This window comes from Homo sapiens, chromosome 2 (assembly GCF_000001405.40).
Source record: "Homo sapiens chromosome 2, GRCh38.p14 Primary Assembly".
In the NCBI taxonomy this organism is placed as follows: domain Eukaryota; kingdom Metazoa; phylum Chordata; class Mammalia; order Primates; family Hominidae; genus Homo; species Homo sapiens.
Genome location: NC_000002.12, coordinates 139,174,268 through 139,194,779, shown reverse-complemented (window position 1 = coordinate 139,194,779; position 20,512 = coordinate 139,174,268). Strand labels below are relative to the sequence as shown.

The window sequence follows — 20,512 nt, the reverse complement described above, 5'->3', positions numbered from 1 at the left end:
AGACAAATTAACACAGCACCGGGAGCCATTTAACAAATTACCTTTTCCAGTGCCTATACTGGCACCACAGTACCCACTATGGACCCACGTTCACATCAATTAGATTAGCTACTCAGTCCCAGAGGTCGTTTTCTTCATGCCGACTCAGGCTGTGAACTCCACGTTAAAACTAGAAAATGAACAGTCCTAAGATAGGCAGATGAATTTTTGAGACGATTTCTTTAGGAGAGTAAAATCATCTACCTTAGAAACTGTCTAGCTTTTTTAGTTTGGCTGTTTCCAGCTGTGTGTGCCATATTTTGCTTTCTAAGTATATATACCTAGACCTTGAGTATTTATTTCTGACTCTTTTAATGTTTTGTCCCAGTATGAATAATAAATAATTTGACAATAAAATGTTATTTCAAGGATTCATCTATTTTTGCTTCATTTTCTCTACTTTAGGTGACCTCTAATTTCTTTCCTAACCTTAGAGAGTGTCTGATTGACTTAGATATTAAACTGCAATCTAGGAAGAAATTTCTTATAATGAGAGTTCCGAAGGATGGAACTAAAACAGACTAAGAAGAAAGAAAATGGTGTGGGAGAAAAGAGAAAAATAAAAGGGGTGAAACACCTACAAATATTCCCAGAGAGGTGTACAGAAATAACTAACACTTTTACTAAAGTCTTCGGGTATTTTATGGCAGTGCAGAGCGTTTTGTAGGGAAAAAAATATCATAACATGGCACTTTCTATAAATGCAGCACTTTTCCTCAGCATCTCACAGTCTTTTCTTATTTATTATTTAGTTGATCTTTTCACAATTTTTATAGTGAGAACCTGGAACAATAAAAGAGTTCACATAATTGTTCCATCATTTTTTGTGGGAGGGTGAAAGGAGGATGAGTATAGATAGATAAGAGATAGGGAAGGCAAGTGATCAACAGGTCTCTGCCCTGTAACTTCTGCCATAAGACATGCAGGTGGGTGCCCAGTACCCTTAAAAAGGCTACTTCCTGAGGTTTTCTTCTATTTCATTGTACTTCCAAGCAATTCTTCTTCCTGGTACCAAGAGAAAAAAAAAAGAATGTGAACCTTAGAAGAACTAAATAGGTACCAAAAACAAAAAGAAATGAAAAACCTTCCCCCATCCCTCATAGTAAAAGAGAAGAATTTTCAGAGCAAGTATATACTCCCAAAAGAGCAATAGGTCTGAATATAGAAGCTGCAATGTACAATTCCTGGAATTTTACAGTGTTTGTGTGGGGAAAACATGGAAGAGAAAAAGAGACGTAAGGCTAAAAGCGAGTAGCAACTTGAAGGGTTTTGTTCTTCTTCTAGAATCCCAGCACATTATCTGCCTCACAGACTTTGTCAGAGCCAGTATCATGACACACATCAACCCTAGTAATACATTTCTTTTCAGTGCCTTATTTGTGACTAAGGTGACAACGGGCTCAATTATAAGTCTGATATCAGATCAAGTTTTATTTTCCAGTTTTAAGTGGGTAGATTTACAACTTAAGAAGGTAGACTATTTCTTGTCAATTCTATAACCAACATTTTTGCATGTCATTCTCTGGCAAGGTTATATTCTTGAACATGGGAGCTGAGAAACAGACAGGGAAAAAAATAAAGATAACCTATCTTACAATACTTCACGTAAGTTGCTTTGCACTGTTTTCTGATCTTAAACTTAAGTCAATAATTTCTCCTAGACAATTGGATGTGGGGTCGAATGTAAGAAGTCTACTGAACTCTAAGGGGGATTTTAATTGCTTTTGTGATTTATTACTTACTGGGATAATTCTTGAGAGTCAGCAGACTTGCTTACTAGAACTATGAGAAATTGCTGGTTGTGAGTTACAGGTGAGCCACATTAATCATTTCTGGAGTTTTGTCAGCATGGACTTTCACCCCATGAAGCTTCTACCCAAACAGTAAGCCATAATATGCTAATCCTGCATCACTACTCCTTTAAATCTGAAATTAACGTATCTTTATCTCTTCCACCCTGATTAAACTTGAAAATAAAAAATATTGTCCTATGCAACTAATCTGACTCAAAAGCAATGAGACAAATAAAGTCTGCTCTAAGTTTGAGTATACTTTTATTAATTCATAGATTCAGAAAATAAGTTATGTGTTGTTTTTAGTGCCCACTTTTTTTTAGTGCACTAGTTAAGGTGCTTGAGCCACAACAGTAAATAAAATCAAAGTCCTCACTCTCATGGAGGTTACCTTCTAGCGGTGGGAGACAGAAATAAATACATTTATAAAATGAACCACGTGGTAATAACTGGATAGAAAGTAAGAGTGAGGAATGCTATTTTGTATGGGGTGGTCAGCAAAGATTTCTTTGTTAAGGGAATATTTATACAGATATCTACAGAAAGTGAGGAAGAGACAATGAGTAAACATAGGGAAGAGCTTATTAGCCAGAGCATTTAGCACTCAAGGGGCCTAAGGTGAGTGTGTTTAAGGGAAGAGGAGGAGGATGGTGTGGTTGAATTAGAGTGATGAAGTTATCAAGTGATCAGAGAGGTAGTCAGAAAACCAGCTGGAACTGAAACATACAGGACCAAGACCACAGCGAGTTGAAGGTTTGAGAAGAAAGTGATATGACCGCATATCTGTTGCATTATCATCACTCTGGCTGATGTAGGCAGGAAAGAAAATAGCAGGCAAGAGAGGATTTGGGGAAACTATTTGAGGCACTACTGCAAATAGCCAGGTGAAAACTGAAACTGGTTGAAAGTGATGAGAAGTGGTCACATTTATGTATCATTTAAAGGCATAATTGATGACATGTTCATAAGTGAGAGAGACAGACAGTAGCCTTGGTTTCTACTGCCATCAAATGATAGAATGTAGATCCGCATAGTGACCTATTCAACCAGGGAAAGAGTAGGTTAAGTACATTTTGAATTAAAAGTTTATTTTTGAACTTGTTAAATCTGACTCTTTTAGGCATCACAATAGAGATGACTGGATTTTATTAAAGAGGTCCAGATGGAAGAAAAAAATGGAAATGATCAGGTAGAGGTCATATTTAAAGCTATGGGACTATATGAATTCAGTTAAAAGAGTAAGTCTAGAGAGAAAAGACAGAAAAAGATCAAACTTCTTGGTGCTTCTGCATCTAGAGTCCAGGATGAAGAAAATAAAAACAAAAAAAAAAGCAAGCAAACAAACAAAAAATAGAGATAGAGGAGGAAGTAAACTCGGAGTGTTGTGTAAAAAAAATTGTGGCAGTCACAAATGTGACACTGACAATTAGAATAAGATGAGGGCTCAGAAATTGCCTTTGGATTTAACATTGATTGTCACTGGCATTGTTAGTAAAACTCAGGTATCCTCTCCACCATTTATCTCAAGGAGCAATTAGCCACAGATACCTCTTTTCCAATCAGGAGCCAAATCATTTTTTTTTTTTAAGAAAAAGTACTATCTGAAGTAGCTAACACCAGTGGGGTGGGTTGTGGAAATGGTTAATGGATGCAAAAATATAGTTAGATAGAATGAATATGATCTAGTATTTGATGGCACAATAGGGTGGAATATAGTTAGCAATAATTTATTGTACATTTTAAAATAATAAAAGAATAGAATTGGAATGTTTCTATCACAAAGAAATATAAATGCTTGAGGTGATGGATACCCCATTTACCCTGATATCACTATTATACTTTGTATGCCTGCATCAAAACATCACATGTATTCCATAAGTATATATACCTACTATTTAGAGATAAAAATTAAAAATAAAATAACAAATGAGCAAACCAAAAATATAAAATTGACACTAGGAGAGGAAATAATAAATCAACATCTTTTTCTCTTTTGCAGACAAGATCATGTTAATTTCACAATCATATAAATAAAATAGGGTTTTTTTCCCTGAGTTTTTCCTTTTGGGAAAAACATGCATTAATGAATACACTTATTTTTAATTTGGTTGAATTTGTGCCAAATCTAAGCAAGTGAGTCAGGCATGTAAGAAAATAATTTGAATGGCTGACCATTCAAAAGACTTATTTTTCAATCACTTGAGTCTGGAGTCAACCATTAAAGGAATGTGTTTTTCTCCCTTGTAATCACTCTGATTGCATAAGTTTGAATATGCTCTATTTTTTCATTTTTCCCTTACTAAATGACAATTTATCAATTTGATCAATACAAAGTACAGCCAAAATTTTACTGATTATAATCCAGATTTTGTATTTAATTATTGCAAGAATAACATCTTTTATCTTATTTATATTTTTAACTTATGCATTTGATTTTATGTCTGCCAACAGAAATTAGACACAGCACCTACTGGTGCTCAACAAATATCTAAATAATGAATAAATAAATTATTGAATAAGTAGATTTTTACATAGCCTATTTTCTAACTTGTTGATAGACATGACAGAATTATCTGCCTACTCACTATTGATGCAAAAAAAAAAAACTGTGTGGGTAAAACAAATATTTTTACTTTAAGTTTAAAATATTAAACTCTTTGATGCCAAAATTGTATTAAAAATAGTTATGTAGAATAACATTCACAGAGTATTGCCTTAATTATATGAAATTCCATATGTTCCACCAAATTTTATTATTGCTATTACTGAATGTTTCCTATACATTTCTTAAGGCTAAACCACAGTCTTCAGAAATCTTTCCGTAGCATACCATTAAATCACAGTCTACCATTCTTTCTGTTTCCTTATTTCCCAGGACCCATTAAACCCTATAGTTATTTGTATCCTTACACCTAAGTCACTTTAGTGACATGATCTGTTGTAGTTTATCACCTTGATTATACTCTGTATTCTCTGAAATTAGGACCTTGACTTAACCAACATCATATTCCCAGTCCTAAACACTGTGTCTGGCATGTATTAGTTACGCATTAAATACTTATGGATAATAAATGAATTAAAAGAAACAGCCCTACAAATTTATTATTTTTTATGTTGTACATGTTCTTAGGAGCATTGTTCCATGCGTTATACCATGTTTATTTTATGCGTATTAATGGTAGAAATTAAGTTCAATTCATACAATTAGAAAAAGTAAGCAAAAAGAACAATAAACTCTCCTTCCAACAACCTGCTTTGTCTGGTTCTTCTTTATGAACACTTTGTATCCTGTTGTTGATTATGTTGCAATCTTTGCATTCAACCTGCTGGACTACAAAACTGGATACTTAGCTTACCTCTAGCATGTCTTAAGATAATTGTGACACACATTAGTGTCATATTCTCATCCAGGTCAGTATAATGCCAAAACCCATTGCCTGTCCACTAAATCACAGAATTTGAACATTGGGACAGAGAGTATTAATCAATGAACAGAATGATAGAATAAAAGAAGCAATGTGTTTAGTTGGCCATCCAACTTGGGAAGAAAACAAAGTAGGAGGATTAGGTATTTGTTAGTTTCTTTCAGCAACTTTTCTAAGGGGATCCAGGGAAACTTCAGATCTGCCTCCAAGATCAAGAACAAGACAAGGATGCCCACTCTCATCACTTCTAGTTAATATATTTCTCGAAGTCCCAACCAGAGCAATTAGGAAAAAGAAATAAGTAGAAGTCATCTGAATAAGAAAGAAAGAAGTTAAACTGTCTGTTTGCAGATGACATAATTTTAAAGACCCCACCAAAAAACTTTTAGAACTAATAAATTCAGTTAAATTGCAGTACACAAAATCAACACACAAAAAAAGTAGCACTTCTACATACTAAGAGAAAACTTTCCAAAAATGAAATCAATAAAATAATCTCATCTACAATAGATACCATCAAATGGAATAAATTTAACCAACAGTGTAAGAGATCTGTACACTTAACACTATAAAACATAGATGAAAGAAACTGAGGAAGACACAAATGGATGAAAAGATATCTAGATTGTCCATAGATTGGAAGAATTAATATTGTAAAAATGTCAATACTACCCAAAATGCTATACAGATTCAATGCAATCCCTACCAAATTTCTGACACTTTTCACAGAAATAGGGGAAAAAAACAATTTTTTTGTATGAAACCACAAAATTCCCCAAATAGCCAAAGTAATCTTGAGCAAAAAGATGAAAGCTGGAGGCATCACACTTCCTAATTTCAAAACATATTATAAAACAATTGTAATCAAAATAGCATGGTACTAGCATAAAAATACATGCATAGACCAATGAATGGAATAGAGATCCCAAGAATGAACCTATGCATTTACCATCAATTGATTTTTGACAAAAGTACCAAGACTACACAATGGGAAAATGACAGTCTCTTCAGTAAATGATGTTGGGATAGCTGGATATCCTCATGTAGAAGGAAGAAATTAGACACGCATCTCATGCCATATGCAAAAATCAACAAAAAATGGATTGAAGACTTAATTGTAAAACTGTAAACTATAAAATATTAAAAGAAAACATAGGAGAAACACTCTATGACATTGGTGTGGACAATGATTTTTTGGGGGGTATGACCACAAAAGTGCAGACAACGAAAGCAAAAATAGACAAATGGGATTGCATTAAAGCAAAAGGCTTCTGCACAGCAAAGGAAACAACAAACAGAGATAAAAGACAACCTACAGAATGGATAAATGTACTTGAAAAACATACATCTGACAAAGGATTAATATCCAAAATATATAAGGAACCACACCTCAATAGTAAGAAAGTAATAATAATCCAATTTAAAAATGGACAAAGGACCTGAGTAGTCATTTCTCAAAAGAAGACATACACATGGCAAACAGGTATGTTAAAAATGTTTAACATCACTAATCATCAGGGAAATACAAATTAAAATCACAAGATATCACCTCACACTTGCTACAATGCCTGCTATCAAAAAAACGAAGATAAGTGTTGGCAAAGATGTGGAGAAAAGGGAACTCTTGTACACTGCTGGTAGTCATGTAAATTAGTACAACAGTTTTGGAAAACAGTATGGAGGTTCCTCAAAAAATTAAAAATAGAACTTCCACAGGATCCAGAAATCCTCCTTCTGGGTATAAGTCCAAAAGACATGAAATCAGTATGTCAAAGAGACATCTGCACTCTTATGTCTATTGTGGCACTATCACAATAGCTGAGAATCAATCTCAGTCCATTATCTTAGTCCATTCATGCTGCTATAAAGCAGTACCTGAACCTGAGTAATTTATTTAAAAAAATTATTTGGCTCACAGTTCTGCAGCCTGTATAAGAAGCGTGGGACCATCATCTGCTTCTGGTACATAACCCAGAAGCTTCCAATTATGTTAGAAGAGGCATGTCACATGGAGAGAGAGGAAGCAAGAAAGAGGAGGACGTAGCAGGTTCTTTTTAACAACCAGCTTTCAAGGGAAATTATAGAGCAAGAAGTCACTCATTACCTCTAGAACGGCACCAAGCCATTCATGAGGGGTTCACCCCCATGACCAAAACACTTTTCACCTGGCCCCCCTCCAACATTGGAAAGCAAATTTCGACCTATGATTTGGAGGATGCAATATTCCAATTATATTAGCCATCAACTATGAACGGGTAAAGAAAATGTGGTATAAATACACAATGAAATACAATTCCGCCTTTAGAAAGGGGAGAATCCTGTCATTTGCAACATGTATGAATCGGGAGGACATTATGATAAGTAAAATAAGACAGAAGCAAAAAGACAAACACTTCATGATCTCACTTATAGGTGGAATCTAAAAATGTTGAACTCAGAGAAGCAGAGGGTAGAATGGTGTTTACCAGAGGCTGGGGGTGGGAGGATGGGAGAGGTTGTCAAAGGATACAAAATTTCAGCTAGACAAGAGGTATAAGGTCAAGAGATCTAATATATGTTATGGTAACTGCATTTAATAACAATATATTGTACACTTAAACATTGCTAAGAGAGTCGATTTTAAGAGCTTTCACCACAAAAAAAAAAAAAAAAAAAACTATGTGAGGAAATGCACATGCTAATTAGTTTAATTTGGCCATTCCACAATTGATACATATATCAAAATATGTTGTCCACCATAAGTATATACAATTGATACTTGTTAATAAAAAAAGAAAAAAGTGATTTCTTTCATTTTCCAATACTGCACATACACATGCATGCCTGTATGTGTATACACACACACACACAGAAACACAGCAAATATAATAATTTGTAAAAGTGAGTTAATATGCTCTATGACTGGAATACAATTATAATTTCCCCCAAATTGCAGCTGAGTGAATTGAGCATGCATAATGCTTGCACTATCTCAGGTTTTTACTGTGTTTCTCCTTGGAGACAGAACAGGGCAATGCTTATCCTCAAAGCTTGAGGCAACCCAATTTGTGAATGTGAGCATGTGTATTTCATAGAAAGCAGAGTAATATGATGAGAATAATTTCTGTCACAGTGCTTGCCTTTCCTAGATTATTATTATGCAATGAAATTTGCTGGTTTCTTATTTTCTATGTGTACACCCATTGCCAAGTAGCCTCCAGGTGCATGAACAATAACAACAAAGATGAGGTGAACAGCAATATTAAGAAAACTACTTGTTGTAGCACTACAATAAACATAGTATGTGAACAGTGGCTTGCAACCTTCACAATACAGCCCCTTTGAGACAGACAAATTTAAAATCATGGTCTGAAACCACATCAAGGACATTCATTGAGAAGAGCTCTGTTGGATTCACAAACTAGTTTTCAAAGAAAATAGTCATTCCTTCATTTCACTCCGGATAAATCTCGGAGCCATTATCAGAACTGTAAGAACTAATGTTAATTGCAAAGTGATGTCACCGAGACAGACATTGTCACAAAGCTGGCCATCAGGCAAACTTTGAAAAACTTGTGAGAAGAATGTTAAACTGCACCCTGCAATCAGGCCAAAAAAAAAAAAAAAACAAAACAAAAAGGCTCCAGACTGGGCGTGGTGGCTCACACCTGTAATCCCAGCACTTTGGGAGGTCGAAGCAGGCAGATCACGAGGTCAGGAGTTCAAGACCATCCTGGCCAACATGGTGAAACCCCATCTCTACTAAAAATACAAAAATTAGCTGGGCGTGGTGGAGCGTGCTTGTAATCCCAGCTACTCGGGAGGCTGAGGCAGGAGAATTGCTTGAACCAGTGAGTTGGAGGTTGCAGTGAGTTGAGATCACACCACTGCACTCTAGCCTGGTGATAGAGCAAGACTCCATCTCAAAAAAAAAAAAAAAAAAAAAAAAGCTCCAGCACAGGGACTACATGTAGCTGGCATTTTGAAAATTTTGGCTTTTGCAGGCAACCCATTTTGTCAGCAATATTTACTGAGACCCCACTGTATGTTGAATGTTATAAAGCATAGCATATAACAGAATGAAATAAAAGCTATTGTGATGTCTATTGACAGTTAAAGAAACACTGACACCTAAAGATAAACATTAGTTGGGATCCCCCACATCTAGAATTTGTAGCCAGAGGCAAGGGAAGGTCATTTACAGACCTACAACAAATATGTCCACTAGAAAGAAGTGATAAAAAGGCATCCTGATAATGCCCATATCAAAAAAGACAAAATTCTTAAAATTTAATGCAAAGAAATGGCTCAGTATATATTCCCAATTGTATGTTCATTTTGTCTGTATAAACTGCAATTTTCAAACTGCCAATTACATGTAGGCCTGTACTGGGTACTTGATGTTTAACTTCGGAGTCCTGTTCTAATTTTTTTCTCATAAAACCTCCACCTTTTTATTATTATTATTATTAAAGCATGAAAAAGAGGCTAGACAGTCCTCTATGAGTATTGGGATCTTCTCTAGTTCCTTACAAAAAAAAAAAGTGTTGTACTACAGTGTTCTTATTTCTTATGCTGATGGAAAGAAATCTTGAAGACATAGTCCACTTAAGAGAAATTAAGGTTCTGGGAAAGTCCCTTAGCTACAGTGAGCGATATGACAGATATTTTTCCTCTTTTATTTCTTCAATTAAATTTGCAAAAGGGTTAGGAGAATATATATATATATATATATATATATATATATATATATATATATATATATATATATATATAATGGGGCTAGATGAGAAAGCTGTGTGCTGTTCATGACAATTCTAAATCCAGTCACTAAAACAGATGGAAATAAAGGCAACAATTGAAACAAGAAACCCACTTCCTGATCTTTAACTCTACTTTCCATTCACATGGGGACTTACGCATACAAATTAATGAAGTAAATTCTTATAAAATTAAAAAGACAGATATCAAAAAGTGAACATTCCAAAGGCATACAGAGGACTGAGAGACGTTTTGCATGTGAAGTCCAAAGTTGGAAGTACCCTCAGTTAATTAACAGATCTGTAAATACACTTCAACTGCTGAAGCAGCCTTGAATATCTTAATTTATCTTCAAGTTTATTTTAAACTACTTTGGTAAGCTCTAGATTATGAACAAAACACATCACAATTTCTGTATCACAGAGATCAGAGGAAGATGCAAAATTCATTAGAAGGAAGCATGTGTATTCAAAACTCCTAAGTACTCAACTTGTGATTATCTTACCTCCAGAGATAAAGAAGAGCGAGTATCCAGTTGCTTCTAGAATTGCAAGTTTTGTGATAAGAAAGCAGATGTAACAGGCTTGTAATCATTACTGCCTACCAGAAAATGTGTTAGTTTCTCTAGCTGCTAAATTTCACTAAGAAAAGAATTACATCAATGTGAAATAAAACCTTGCTTCAATGCAACTGTTTCAGAGGATATAAAGTAACAAGAAGCTGGCCCTGGTCTCTGGGGAAATGATCTGAAGGGAACTCTCCACAGGACTAAAACTTGGTCACAGACTGAGGCTAATGCTGTATACATCTTTGTTGTTTCAAATGATGCCTTGAGACTCAGTTTGACTTCTCAGCTTTCCCTCAAAAAACACTCTACTGGCCTGACGCAGTGGCTCACACCTGTAATCCCAGCACTTTGGGAGGCCGAGGTGGGCGGTTCAGGAGGTCAAGAGGTTGAGACCATCCTGACCAACATGGTGAAGCCCTGTCTCTATTAAAAATACAAAAATTAGCTGGGAGTGGTGGCACGCATCTGTAGTCCCAGCTGTTTGGGAGGCTGAGGCAGGAGAATTGCTTGAACCAGGGAGGTGGAGGTAGCAGTGAGCTGAGATCGCGCCACTGCACCCAGCCTGGTGACAGAGTGGGACTCTGTCTAAAAAGACAGAGAGAGGGAGAGGCATGTGGGGTGAGAGAGAGAGCAGGAGAGAGAGAGACACCTTACTTGCCATAGGTCTTAGTATTAGTCAACCAGCTGAATTCATGATTGTGACAGTATATTGCCTTATACCCAATGGTCACAAAAATGGAAGCACTGCAAATTGGTGCCAGAATTAGACATCTGTTGTGTTTTTCTGCCCAATTTACTTTTAACTGCTGAGGAACTACCTTCCCTCCTCCTATCAGTTCTTGCAAAACAAAATTTTTGTTCATTGAATACACTGCAAAATTCTAAGGCTTATCTTGACTAATTATTCTCAGATTTTGCCAAAACAGACCCTTAGTACATGAACGTTTAAGGTATAATGAACGTTCTGTTGCATATCATCTGACTTATGCAATTCTTTCTTCCATTGCATCTAAGTTTTATTTTTGGAGTCACGCCTTTCATAATATCTGATTTAGTTCTTTTATTTAGGATGTTGGTTTTTAATTCTTAATCTGTTATTTGACCTCAATCACAAATTCTTGAGAGTTATCTATTTAAAACATATTTTTAATTTTAATAAGAGAGACTAATTTCCGATATGGTTTTATAATCATTACATTATGTAGTATAATTTAAGCATGTATACCTTTATGTACTCCTTTAGATCAACATAGGTAAACACATTAAATGCATTATTAAGTAGAATGCAAGGATTCCTGTTTGTTGGTGGAATAAAATTGTTCATAATTATTATTTCCTATGTAAAGATAATAATGTCTGGCCTGTGAATTAGCTTCTTTATTAATCCTATAAGAAAATCATTGGCATAGTCAACATACATATTATGAATGGATCCAACATATTAATGGTAGCAATCATCTTCCTAACATTAATCTCTGATTGAACACCATATAGTCATCATGCTCCATTACTGGTTGTAACCCATTTGATTGAACAAAATTTAAAATTTTTATCCTTATTAGAAGATACTGAAGTCATTGGCAATTAACATATACCTATGCTGTGGATACTGGAATGACAGTCTTTCTGCAAATTATTTGCCACCCACTATCAACAGTTGATAACAGTTCTTCAAAATCACTGAACTGCCCCTTTATTATTTCTCCCATAGCTGTTAGCCTCTCTCTATCCAATTACAGTCGTCATTATGGATTTTAGTGCACTGTGTTCCGTACCCTGAACCCCTCACTTGATCATATGCTCTTTAAGGGCAGAGACTAAATTTATAAACAAAGCCTAGCACAGTGTCTTTGATTTTACAGGTGCTTGAAACATCATTGTTAAAATGGGGAATCGTTCTCCAAAGTATAGCAAAATGAGTGTGCTGAAGCTTGGTGTAATAGAGAAAGGAAGAATCTTATCATCAATTATCCTGAGAAAATTTTAGATTTCTTAAAAGTATATAATAAACTTTGTAACTTTAGAATTTACCATGCTTCAATTGATAAATGTATGGCACGTTTGTCAATCACCTAATGTGGTGGATCACCAAGGGATAGGAGAACTTGTTGTATCTCACAGTATTTCTCTAATTTATTTTGCCATCATATTGCCATCATATTTCTTCAGACTGCTTCCAAGGACCGAGTTTCAAAGACTTCATCTGGGGAAATATAGTGCAGTGGTCAAGAATATGGAATTTGGACCATGGGCTGTGTTCAATCTATCTCTGCCACTTACTAGCTGTGAAACCTTATGTAAATTATTGAACTGAACCTTAAAATAGCCCTAATGAGATTCATAATATTTAAAATAAGAATCAAAATAGCTACAAATGATTATACTGTAAGGACCACATATCATAATATATGTGAGGTATTTATCATAATGTCAAATATTTAAAGCATACTAATTTTTTAAAAATTTTTAGTTGAATCGATTTGATCTTATGAGTTATCTTAGTATTATTTATTCCTGGCTCTTAGCTTTTCTTTCTACTCTGCCAGTCTTCAATTGGAAATTTTTTTTTCCCCACAAATTGAGACCTGTGTTAAGGAACCTTACAGTTAATAGCTAAGCTCCAAGGGCAAACATAAATCAAACCCAAGCAAAAAGGCTTTACCATGGGAAATTTAAAATACCCTTTAAAAAATGTGACTCTGTGGAACTTCTCATGATATTTCAGTTCTTTAGGTTGCTAACCAAATCAAGCTCCTTCCTCATATAGAACAGTGTTTTGTTTTCCTTATGGACCATTATTTCCATTGTTTGACCAAAGTTCACCCCATTAGTTTACCCTTGGTCAAAGAACAAGCCTACTGTCAAATATACATTCCAATGACTATGCAAGCTCTTCTTAGACTGGCTCTCTCCTTTGCAAAAGGTGTTGAAGAAAATGTGCTTTTCTCTGGTTATTTTCAGAAATCCTCCTTTTGTTTCACAGTCAATTCTTTTTAATTTTGGTCTTTTGTGCATGTGCAATAGCAGGCTTCATCCAATCAAGGGACAGCTTTCCTTCACTAGGTTATCAACTACAGCCAGAGTGAAGGGCTATTGTCTGGCCATGGGCCTGACTTATACAATTTGCATGCTGCCTAATTCCAATTCTGTTCTATTGTACTGCTGTGCCTTACCTGCTTCTCAGCTGGAAGAAAAGTCAACCAAATGCAGCAGTGGCTCGATCAATGCAGAACCACAAAACCATGTCTAAACAAAAGGTCATAATGTGAGCTCAAAGGCTTTGAAAGTAATCTGCAGAGGAAAATGAAAACATACGTAAACATACATAGAAAAGGTTTTTCCTTCTTAGTGCTGCATTCTCTTTGCTCTATCCTCCCCACACAGTAACCCTCTTCTTGAGCAAAGTAATACCCACCTATCAGCATGATGACTTCCCATTTGTGGTGAATTGAAAACAAGCAACTGCAATAAAGAGAATAGTCACAGAAGAATATAATTCAGCAGGTGAAAAAAAGTCTTTCCCAAAATGAACAGGAGGTGCCAGCAAAAGGATAGATACTGTAGAAAGAAAAGAAGCATGTCACAAGCTCTGTTTCTTATTCCCAGGATCTTTTGACATTGAGGTTTTTTTGCTATAATCAACATGTAAAGCAGACCAAATTAGATAAACAACAATACCATGGGAAAGCAGCATTTGTTTGCAAAGGAATAGATTTTAACACCAGCTGCAGCAGCAGAGGGATCACTTAATAGAGGGAAACAGAGAAATTGTCCAGTGAACACTTAGTCTAGGAAATGACAACAACCAATATTTTTCCTCTGCAACTGCATCAGCCTTTTACAGGTGTTCATAAACTGCAGGCTTTTTGTACATCATTATCACATTCGAGGAAAGCAAAATAGCATACATGTTCTATGTTGCCCAGAATCTGACACAGCAAGAAAGGACTGGAAATACCTAGACAGGGCACTAAAAACATTCAGAAATACAATTTGGGGTGGTAAAACTTCTGTAATTTGAGGCCTGAATGTTGGACACATCTAGGCAATGGTGACAGAAATGCTTTGTCATTGATAGATCCATTCTAATGCAAAGGAATAAAATGATGAATCTGAGATGTATAAATGTAGACAAAGGTAAGATGCTGATTAACTCATTCTGGAAATATATATTGAGTGCCTACTGCCATAGTAAGTGCTGGAAAGTCAATGTATGGTCAGCTGGGTTTAAATCAGTACTTGGAGAGTTAAGTGGTTTTCTTTGCCAACCTCACTTGGCTATAAATTCTAGTCAATATTGGTGGATGATATAGTTTTCAGAGTACACAAGAGAACCTGAATAAGAACAAAGATAAGGTTTTACTAATACCCTAGTGTGGCAAGCCTGGTTTCTAATATCACACATAATAAAGTTATATCCATATTTTACAGGGAGAGAGAGAGAGAGAGAAACAAAGAGACAGAGAAAAGATATAACAATTGAGAATTATATTTAAGTATTTAATCCATAAAATATTGAATTTTCTGGCATAAATTATTCTATGATTGTCATTAATTCAGCAAGTTAAAAATATCTTTCTTGTCAATATTCCTTGTGGTACATCTCCAAGGATGATAATTTCTACTTATTCCATCCCTGTATGAGCATTGCACTCCCAACATACCCTTAAAGAAGCTGAGCTATGTCCCAGCTACTCGGGAGGCTGAGGCAGGAGAATGGCATGAACCCGGGAGGCGGAGCTGGCAGTGAGCCGAGATCGTGCCACTGCACTCCAGCCTGGGAGACAGAGAGAGACTCCATCTCAAAAAAAAAAAAAAAAAAAAAGAAGCTGAGCTATGTAACCATCGATATACAGAATATGAGGGATCAGAGTTTGGCTGTGATTTCTGAAGAATGCTACCCATGTCCTACTGATGTATACATAGTGTCTCAAGATGACTGTTACTTGGATTGAACCTGGTCCTAATTCTAGCATGTAAGCACTTGATTTGATTCATGAAAGAATCCAGTGCGCACTGAAGAAATGTTCTTTCTTCCCTTCTATCTTTTCCAATATATTTCTACGATAGTCATCATCTCATTTTCAGGCAGCTTAATTGACTGCATTCTCGTTTCAAGTTTTATTGTATCTCAAGTGAACAGTAAAACTATTGCATACAACTCTTCGAAAAGCCAAAATGAAGTCTGATCGAGTTGTATATTCATGTCAAGTTTCAAGCATGTCAACACTTCAGACAGTAATTAATTTGGCTCAGAAGTTCATTTTACTTTGACAACATTGCATATCTTCTGTTCTTCTGAAAATATGCTGATCTTGTGAAGCAAGTAATTTGTAGTTTCACCAGTCTCTTCTTGTGGAAGAAATGTATCATGAGGCCATTCACCTATAGAAATCCTTTCTATATCAGGACACCAAAGGCTCCCTAGGGGTCCAAAGCTTCACAATGCAGCCCCTTAGCATTCCATGAACTCATTATGATATGTACCATATCAGTTCAATTGCAAAACAAAGTCATATCCAAATTAGGCAAAGCCTCAAATGCAGAAACAGACAGACACATGATGAGGTAACAATCCCATATATGCCTCTCTCTTTTTTGTCCCCATATCTCAACCAAAGTGTTAGTATAATTTTATTTACTTATTCTCCCTACAGATACAGATCCAACGCTATTCTCAATAAATATCATTTCCTTGCAACACATTGCAAATCCCTTTGACAGAAGGATTACCTTTCAGTACGAAAAGCAGATGTCCTATCTATTCTCTTGTACAAAGCAGCTGTTGTCTTAATTGAGAGGCTAGATTTCCATGCAATCTCAAACAAAGTTCTGGAATGGTATAAGAGGGACCTGAAGAAGGGATTTAAAATCTCTGGAGGGCCAAAACTCCATTCCAGAACAAATGAATAAGTAAATGAATAAATACACATATATATCTTAAGTGAATAAATGAATGATCAAACACACATATTTATTCTAGCCAGTTTTATTAAAATGATTTCACAACCACGTACGGCAACAATGTACCTTAACCTTTTATTTTGGACAGAAGGCAAACACATCCAAACGACAAACCAGAACAGGACAACGTGTGTGACTCCCCTGTCATCCAGGCGCTTTTTGTTTACCATGAATAAGGTTTTGCATATCTACTATTATCATCATGCACGCCTTGCACAGCATTTTACAGATCAAAATATGAGTTCACTTATAGTATCTCATTTATACTTGACAGCCCACTCAGAAGCAGAGGGGCAAAAGATATACTTCATGTTTTACAAATGAAGAAACAAAAAAAATTGTCTTTCTTTGTTTTGTTTTGTTTTTTTGTTTTGTTTTCTGAATTCACCCTATAAAGCATATACTAAAATAAAGTCTTCTGATTCTTGAGTTAATACCTTTCACTTAACTCATATTTTGGAAGAGAACTGAAAGATAAGTCCAGTGGAGCTTGGACAGCCTTGGGTATTCCTAGAATATCTTTTGTTTGCTACAGCAATATCTTTATTAAAGTTAATGTACCCATATTATAATACACCAAAAATTGGAGGTAGGGTTAGGTCATGAAAATGGCCAAATATATCCAAGGAGTGAGATAAGACACTCCAAGAAATCATTCATATTCCCCAACAACCGGGCTGGCAATTGAGAGGAGACATAGGATGGCAGGAAGGTCTCAAAGTTTAAAGTCAAACTAAATATTACATCAAAAAGGCAGATATTAGCAGGAATTAACAAATCAAATAACTCAATTTATAAGATTTATACTTTTTCAAAAAAATTGAGTGCATCTAAAAATAGAAGTATCTCTGATTTCTAGTCTTGGTAGTGCAGTCAAACTTGTCTGACGCTTTTTTTTTTCACCCTGGAGCAGAGGTGCAGTTGCTTGGGGCCACATAACTGCTTTACCTACAGTGGAGGACTGAGTCAGTGGGCTTATCTTCCCACACAACACAATCAGGATGAGCAAGCCCCAGGCATGTCCCCATTTTTTTATCTCCCAGGCAGCACTGCACTGCCAGGCGTGTAGCTCCCTTGTCTCCAGCCACTTCCTGGAAGCACGATGACAGGTAATTATAAGAGCTAAATAGGCTTGGCATTGTCATTTTCAGAAATTGCTTGCAAAGCACACAAACTCTGCTTGCTGCACTCCCCCTACTTCAACATCCAAAACAAATTAAAAGGATTTTTATTTGGAATTTTATATTCCACAAACATTTTGTGACTATTTTTCTCCCTACAGAGAACTTACATCTGCTCTGAGTAGGAGTTTATTTATTTTTTCCTTTTAAACCAAGCTGTTTAGTGTGGCTGACCAACAGTTCAGGTTATTACAGCCAATTAAAAATTAAAAATGGAGAGGCTTCAGCTCCAGCGATGCAAGAGATAATGGAGAAGTTTCCATTCATCATGCTTACAAAGTTTTCCCAGGAAGGAATTTGTTTCTTAAGCTGCCATGTTAGATTTGAACAGCTTTTCCATTTCCTGAGGTCTGTTCATTTAGATAACAATTCACTCAGATTTCTCTACTCCTGTGTTGAAGTGTGGGAAATATTATTATTATATAGTACTTGGAAACATATAGTTCAACCTAAAAGAGCAGAAATGCCGCATACTGCCTTTAGTCAGTTTATTTTTATTAAGGGGAAGGATGTTGTTGACTTCTATACAATTGTCCTTTTAGGATTCATCTTTTATATTTGCTGGCTTCTACAGTTTTAACTTAAACAATCATGAAAGAGCTATTTTCTTATGCCCTCCATATCTTAACCTTTGAAATGTACATATCTCACAGTTATCAAACACAGATTTCTGTTTGTGTTCAAAAAGAGAGTAATATTCTTCTTTATTGCCTTTTATTCCAACTCAACTGCTTTCATCGCTCTACCTGCTCAATAATTTCATCATATAGCTCAGTGCTCCAAAGTGGTAAACCCAAATACAGCAACGAAGACATTGTCAATTCTAATTTGGGGAAAGTTTCTGATCTTAAATCCCGAGGGTGTCTGCATAGCACTTAAACTTGTAATGGAGTGATAAACACTGCTTTTATTTTCAGTTTTTTTTTTTTTTTTTTTTGGTAATCCAAGTCTAGGACTTCCAGTTATAATAATGTATATACTGGTTCAGTGTGAAAAGACTTATACATTGGAATTGGTGTCCAGAGGTCAGTTCAATAGGAGAGTCAGAGAAGCAGGAAGATTGTCAAATTCAGACATATGCCTGAGAGGATTCTGGTAATTTAGTTTGCCGCCTGAGCATCTAATCATTTATTTAGCTCTCCTGAGAGATTTCATAACGTTTTCATTTGCTATTTTGCAATTGGAGTTTTTCCACAGAGCTTCTGGATGGGGGCGGGAAAGATCAGAACTAGTTAGTATCAACAAATGTTGAAGTATCTCTTCTGGGTACTTAAAAAATAAATTGCATTCAAAAACAGGAAACAGATGAGGAGAAAAGACATGGAATGCTGAGTGGGAAAATGGAAAGATAATGCTGCATGCATTTGCATAAAGGCACCCACTTCTCATTGTGAATAGTATATCAAATAGGGCGGGGTGAAACAATTAATGTAATAGCATTTCAGAGACTAACAAAGGCAAGAGTCCAAGTCTCCTGCAGTTTAAATAGACTAGAGTGTGTATTCCCCAGCAGACTAAATAATAATTTGTCGATGCCAGATCTACTAGGATAATGCTAATGGGGTCAGATAGAAGAACTTTCATTGAAAACATGACTTGCCCTGCTGGAAACCAGAGAGGAGAGTTCAGAGGGTGACCACTACCACCTGCCTTCAGGGTTACTGGATAAGAATCTCTGGGTTGTGTCTACTCTACATGAAAATGCTTGATTAAAGGAAATCTCCAAATCAACACTAGCTGGGCCATTCCTCTCTGACAAATGTTAGAAAGTTTCTTGGGAATTTGGGAAATTCAAACTGCAGGGCTTCCACTGTGAGACAGATGGGATCTGGCTAGTTCAATACTCATCAGGTGGACAGCACTCTTGTGAGCAGAGATGGTATCACAGTTTAGAGGATGTAAAGCGTCCCCTTCTTTTGAAAACCCCTTCTTGTGATGGTGTCAGAACCTATCATGCCATCACTCCCTGTCTCAGGCCAGTTTTCCTTTCCTCTGGACACATGGGAAGCACTGGGATCCTAACTCATTCTGAAGTTGCTTACATCACCTCTAGGCTGCTGGACCAACCCTCCTCACCTGCCTACAATTCCAAATATGTGTACCAAGTGCTTTCTGGCCACCTTTTCTGACAGTCAGCAAAACCTCCATGTCTATGTACCTGAAATCCAAGGCATCACATCCTACACAAAACCATGTATTTTCTGACTCTCATACTGTTATTACTGGATCCCATGCTTCCAATGATAGACGCAGGGAAATTTGGGTTATGTTTTGACCCTTCTCTGTCCTCTAAAAATCACATCTGATAAGTTTGAATGTCTTTCCATTTTACCTTTCAAAGAGATTTGTCTGTTCATTCTTATCTGTACTATTCTTTCTGTTGCCTGATTTACCTTTTTAAAGTAGAATGTGATGATGTTAATGCCTTGCTCTACATCCTGAATGGGACCTACAGAGAAAGTCCCATCTACTTCAATTTTATTAAATCCCTATTTGGTACATTTCCAGCCTCATCTCTCACGATAGCCCTCACACACTGTTATGGGCTGAATTGTGTCCCCCCAAAATTTACATGTTGAAGCCCTAGCCCCTAGTACTTCAGAATAACTGTATTTGCAGCATAAACCTTTAAAGAGGTGATTCAGTTAAAGTGAGGCTGTTAGGATGAGCCCTAATCCAATCTAATTCAATCTGACTTGTATTTCCTTTTCTTTTCTTTTCTTTTCTTTTCTTTTTTTTTTTCTGGTGACAGAGTCTTGCTCTGTTGCCCAGGCTGGAGTGCAGTGGTGCAATCTTGGCTCA

General features: G+C 36.1%; 1 long non-coding RNA gene across 1 annotated transcript; it reads right to left on the bottom strand.

The window, feature by feature from the left end:
• Window positions 1–12,683: 12,683 nt before the first annotated feature.
• Window positions 12,684–14,077, bottom strand: LOC107985821 (uncharacterized). The gene is made up of 3 exons (XR_001739214.1): window positions 13,981–14,077; window positions 13,739–13,856; window positions 12,684–12,768 (listed from the first exon to the last, which is right to left on the bottom strand). It is a non-coding gene; the product is annotated as an uncharacterized LOC107985821 (long non-coding RNA).
• Window positions 14,078–20,512: the final 6,435 nt, after the last annotated feature.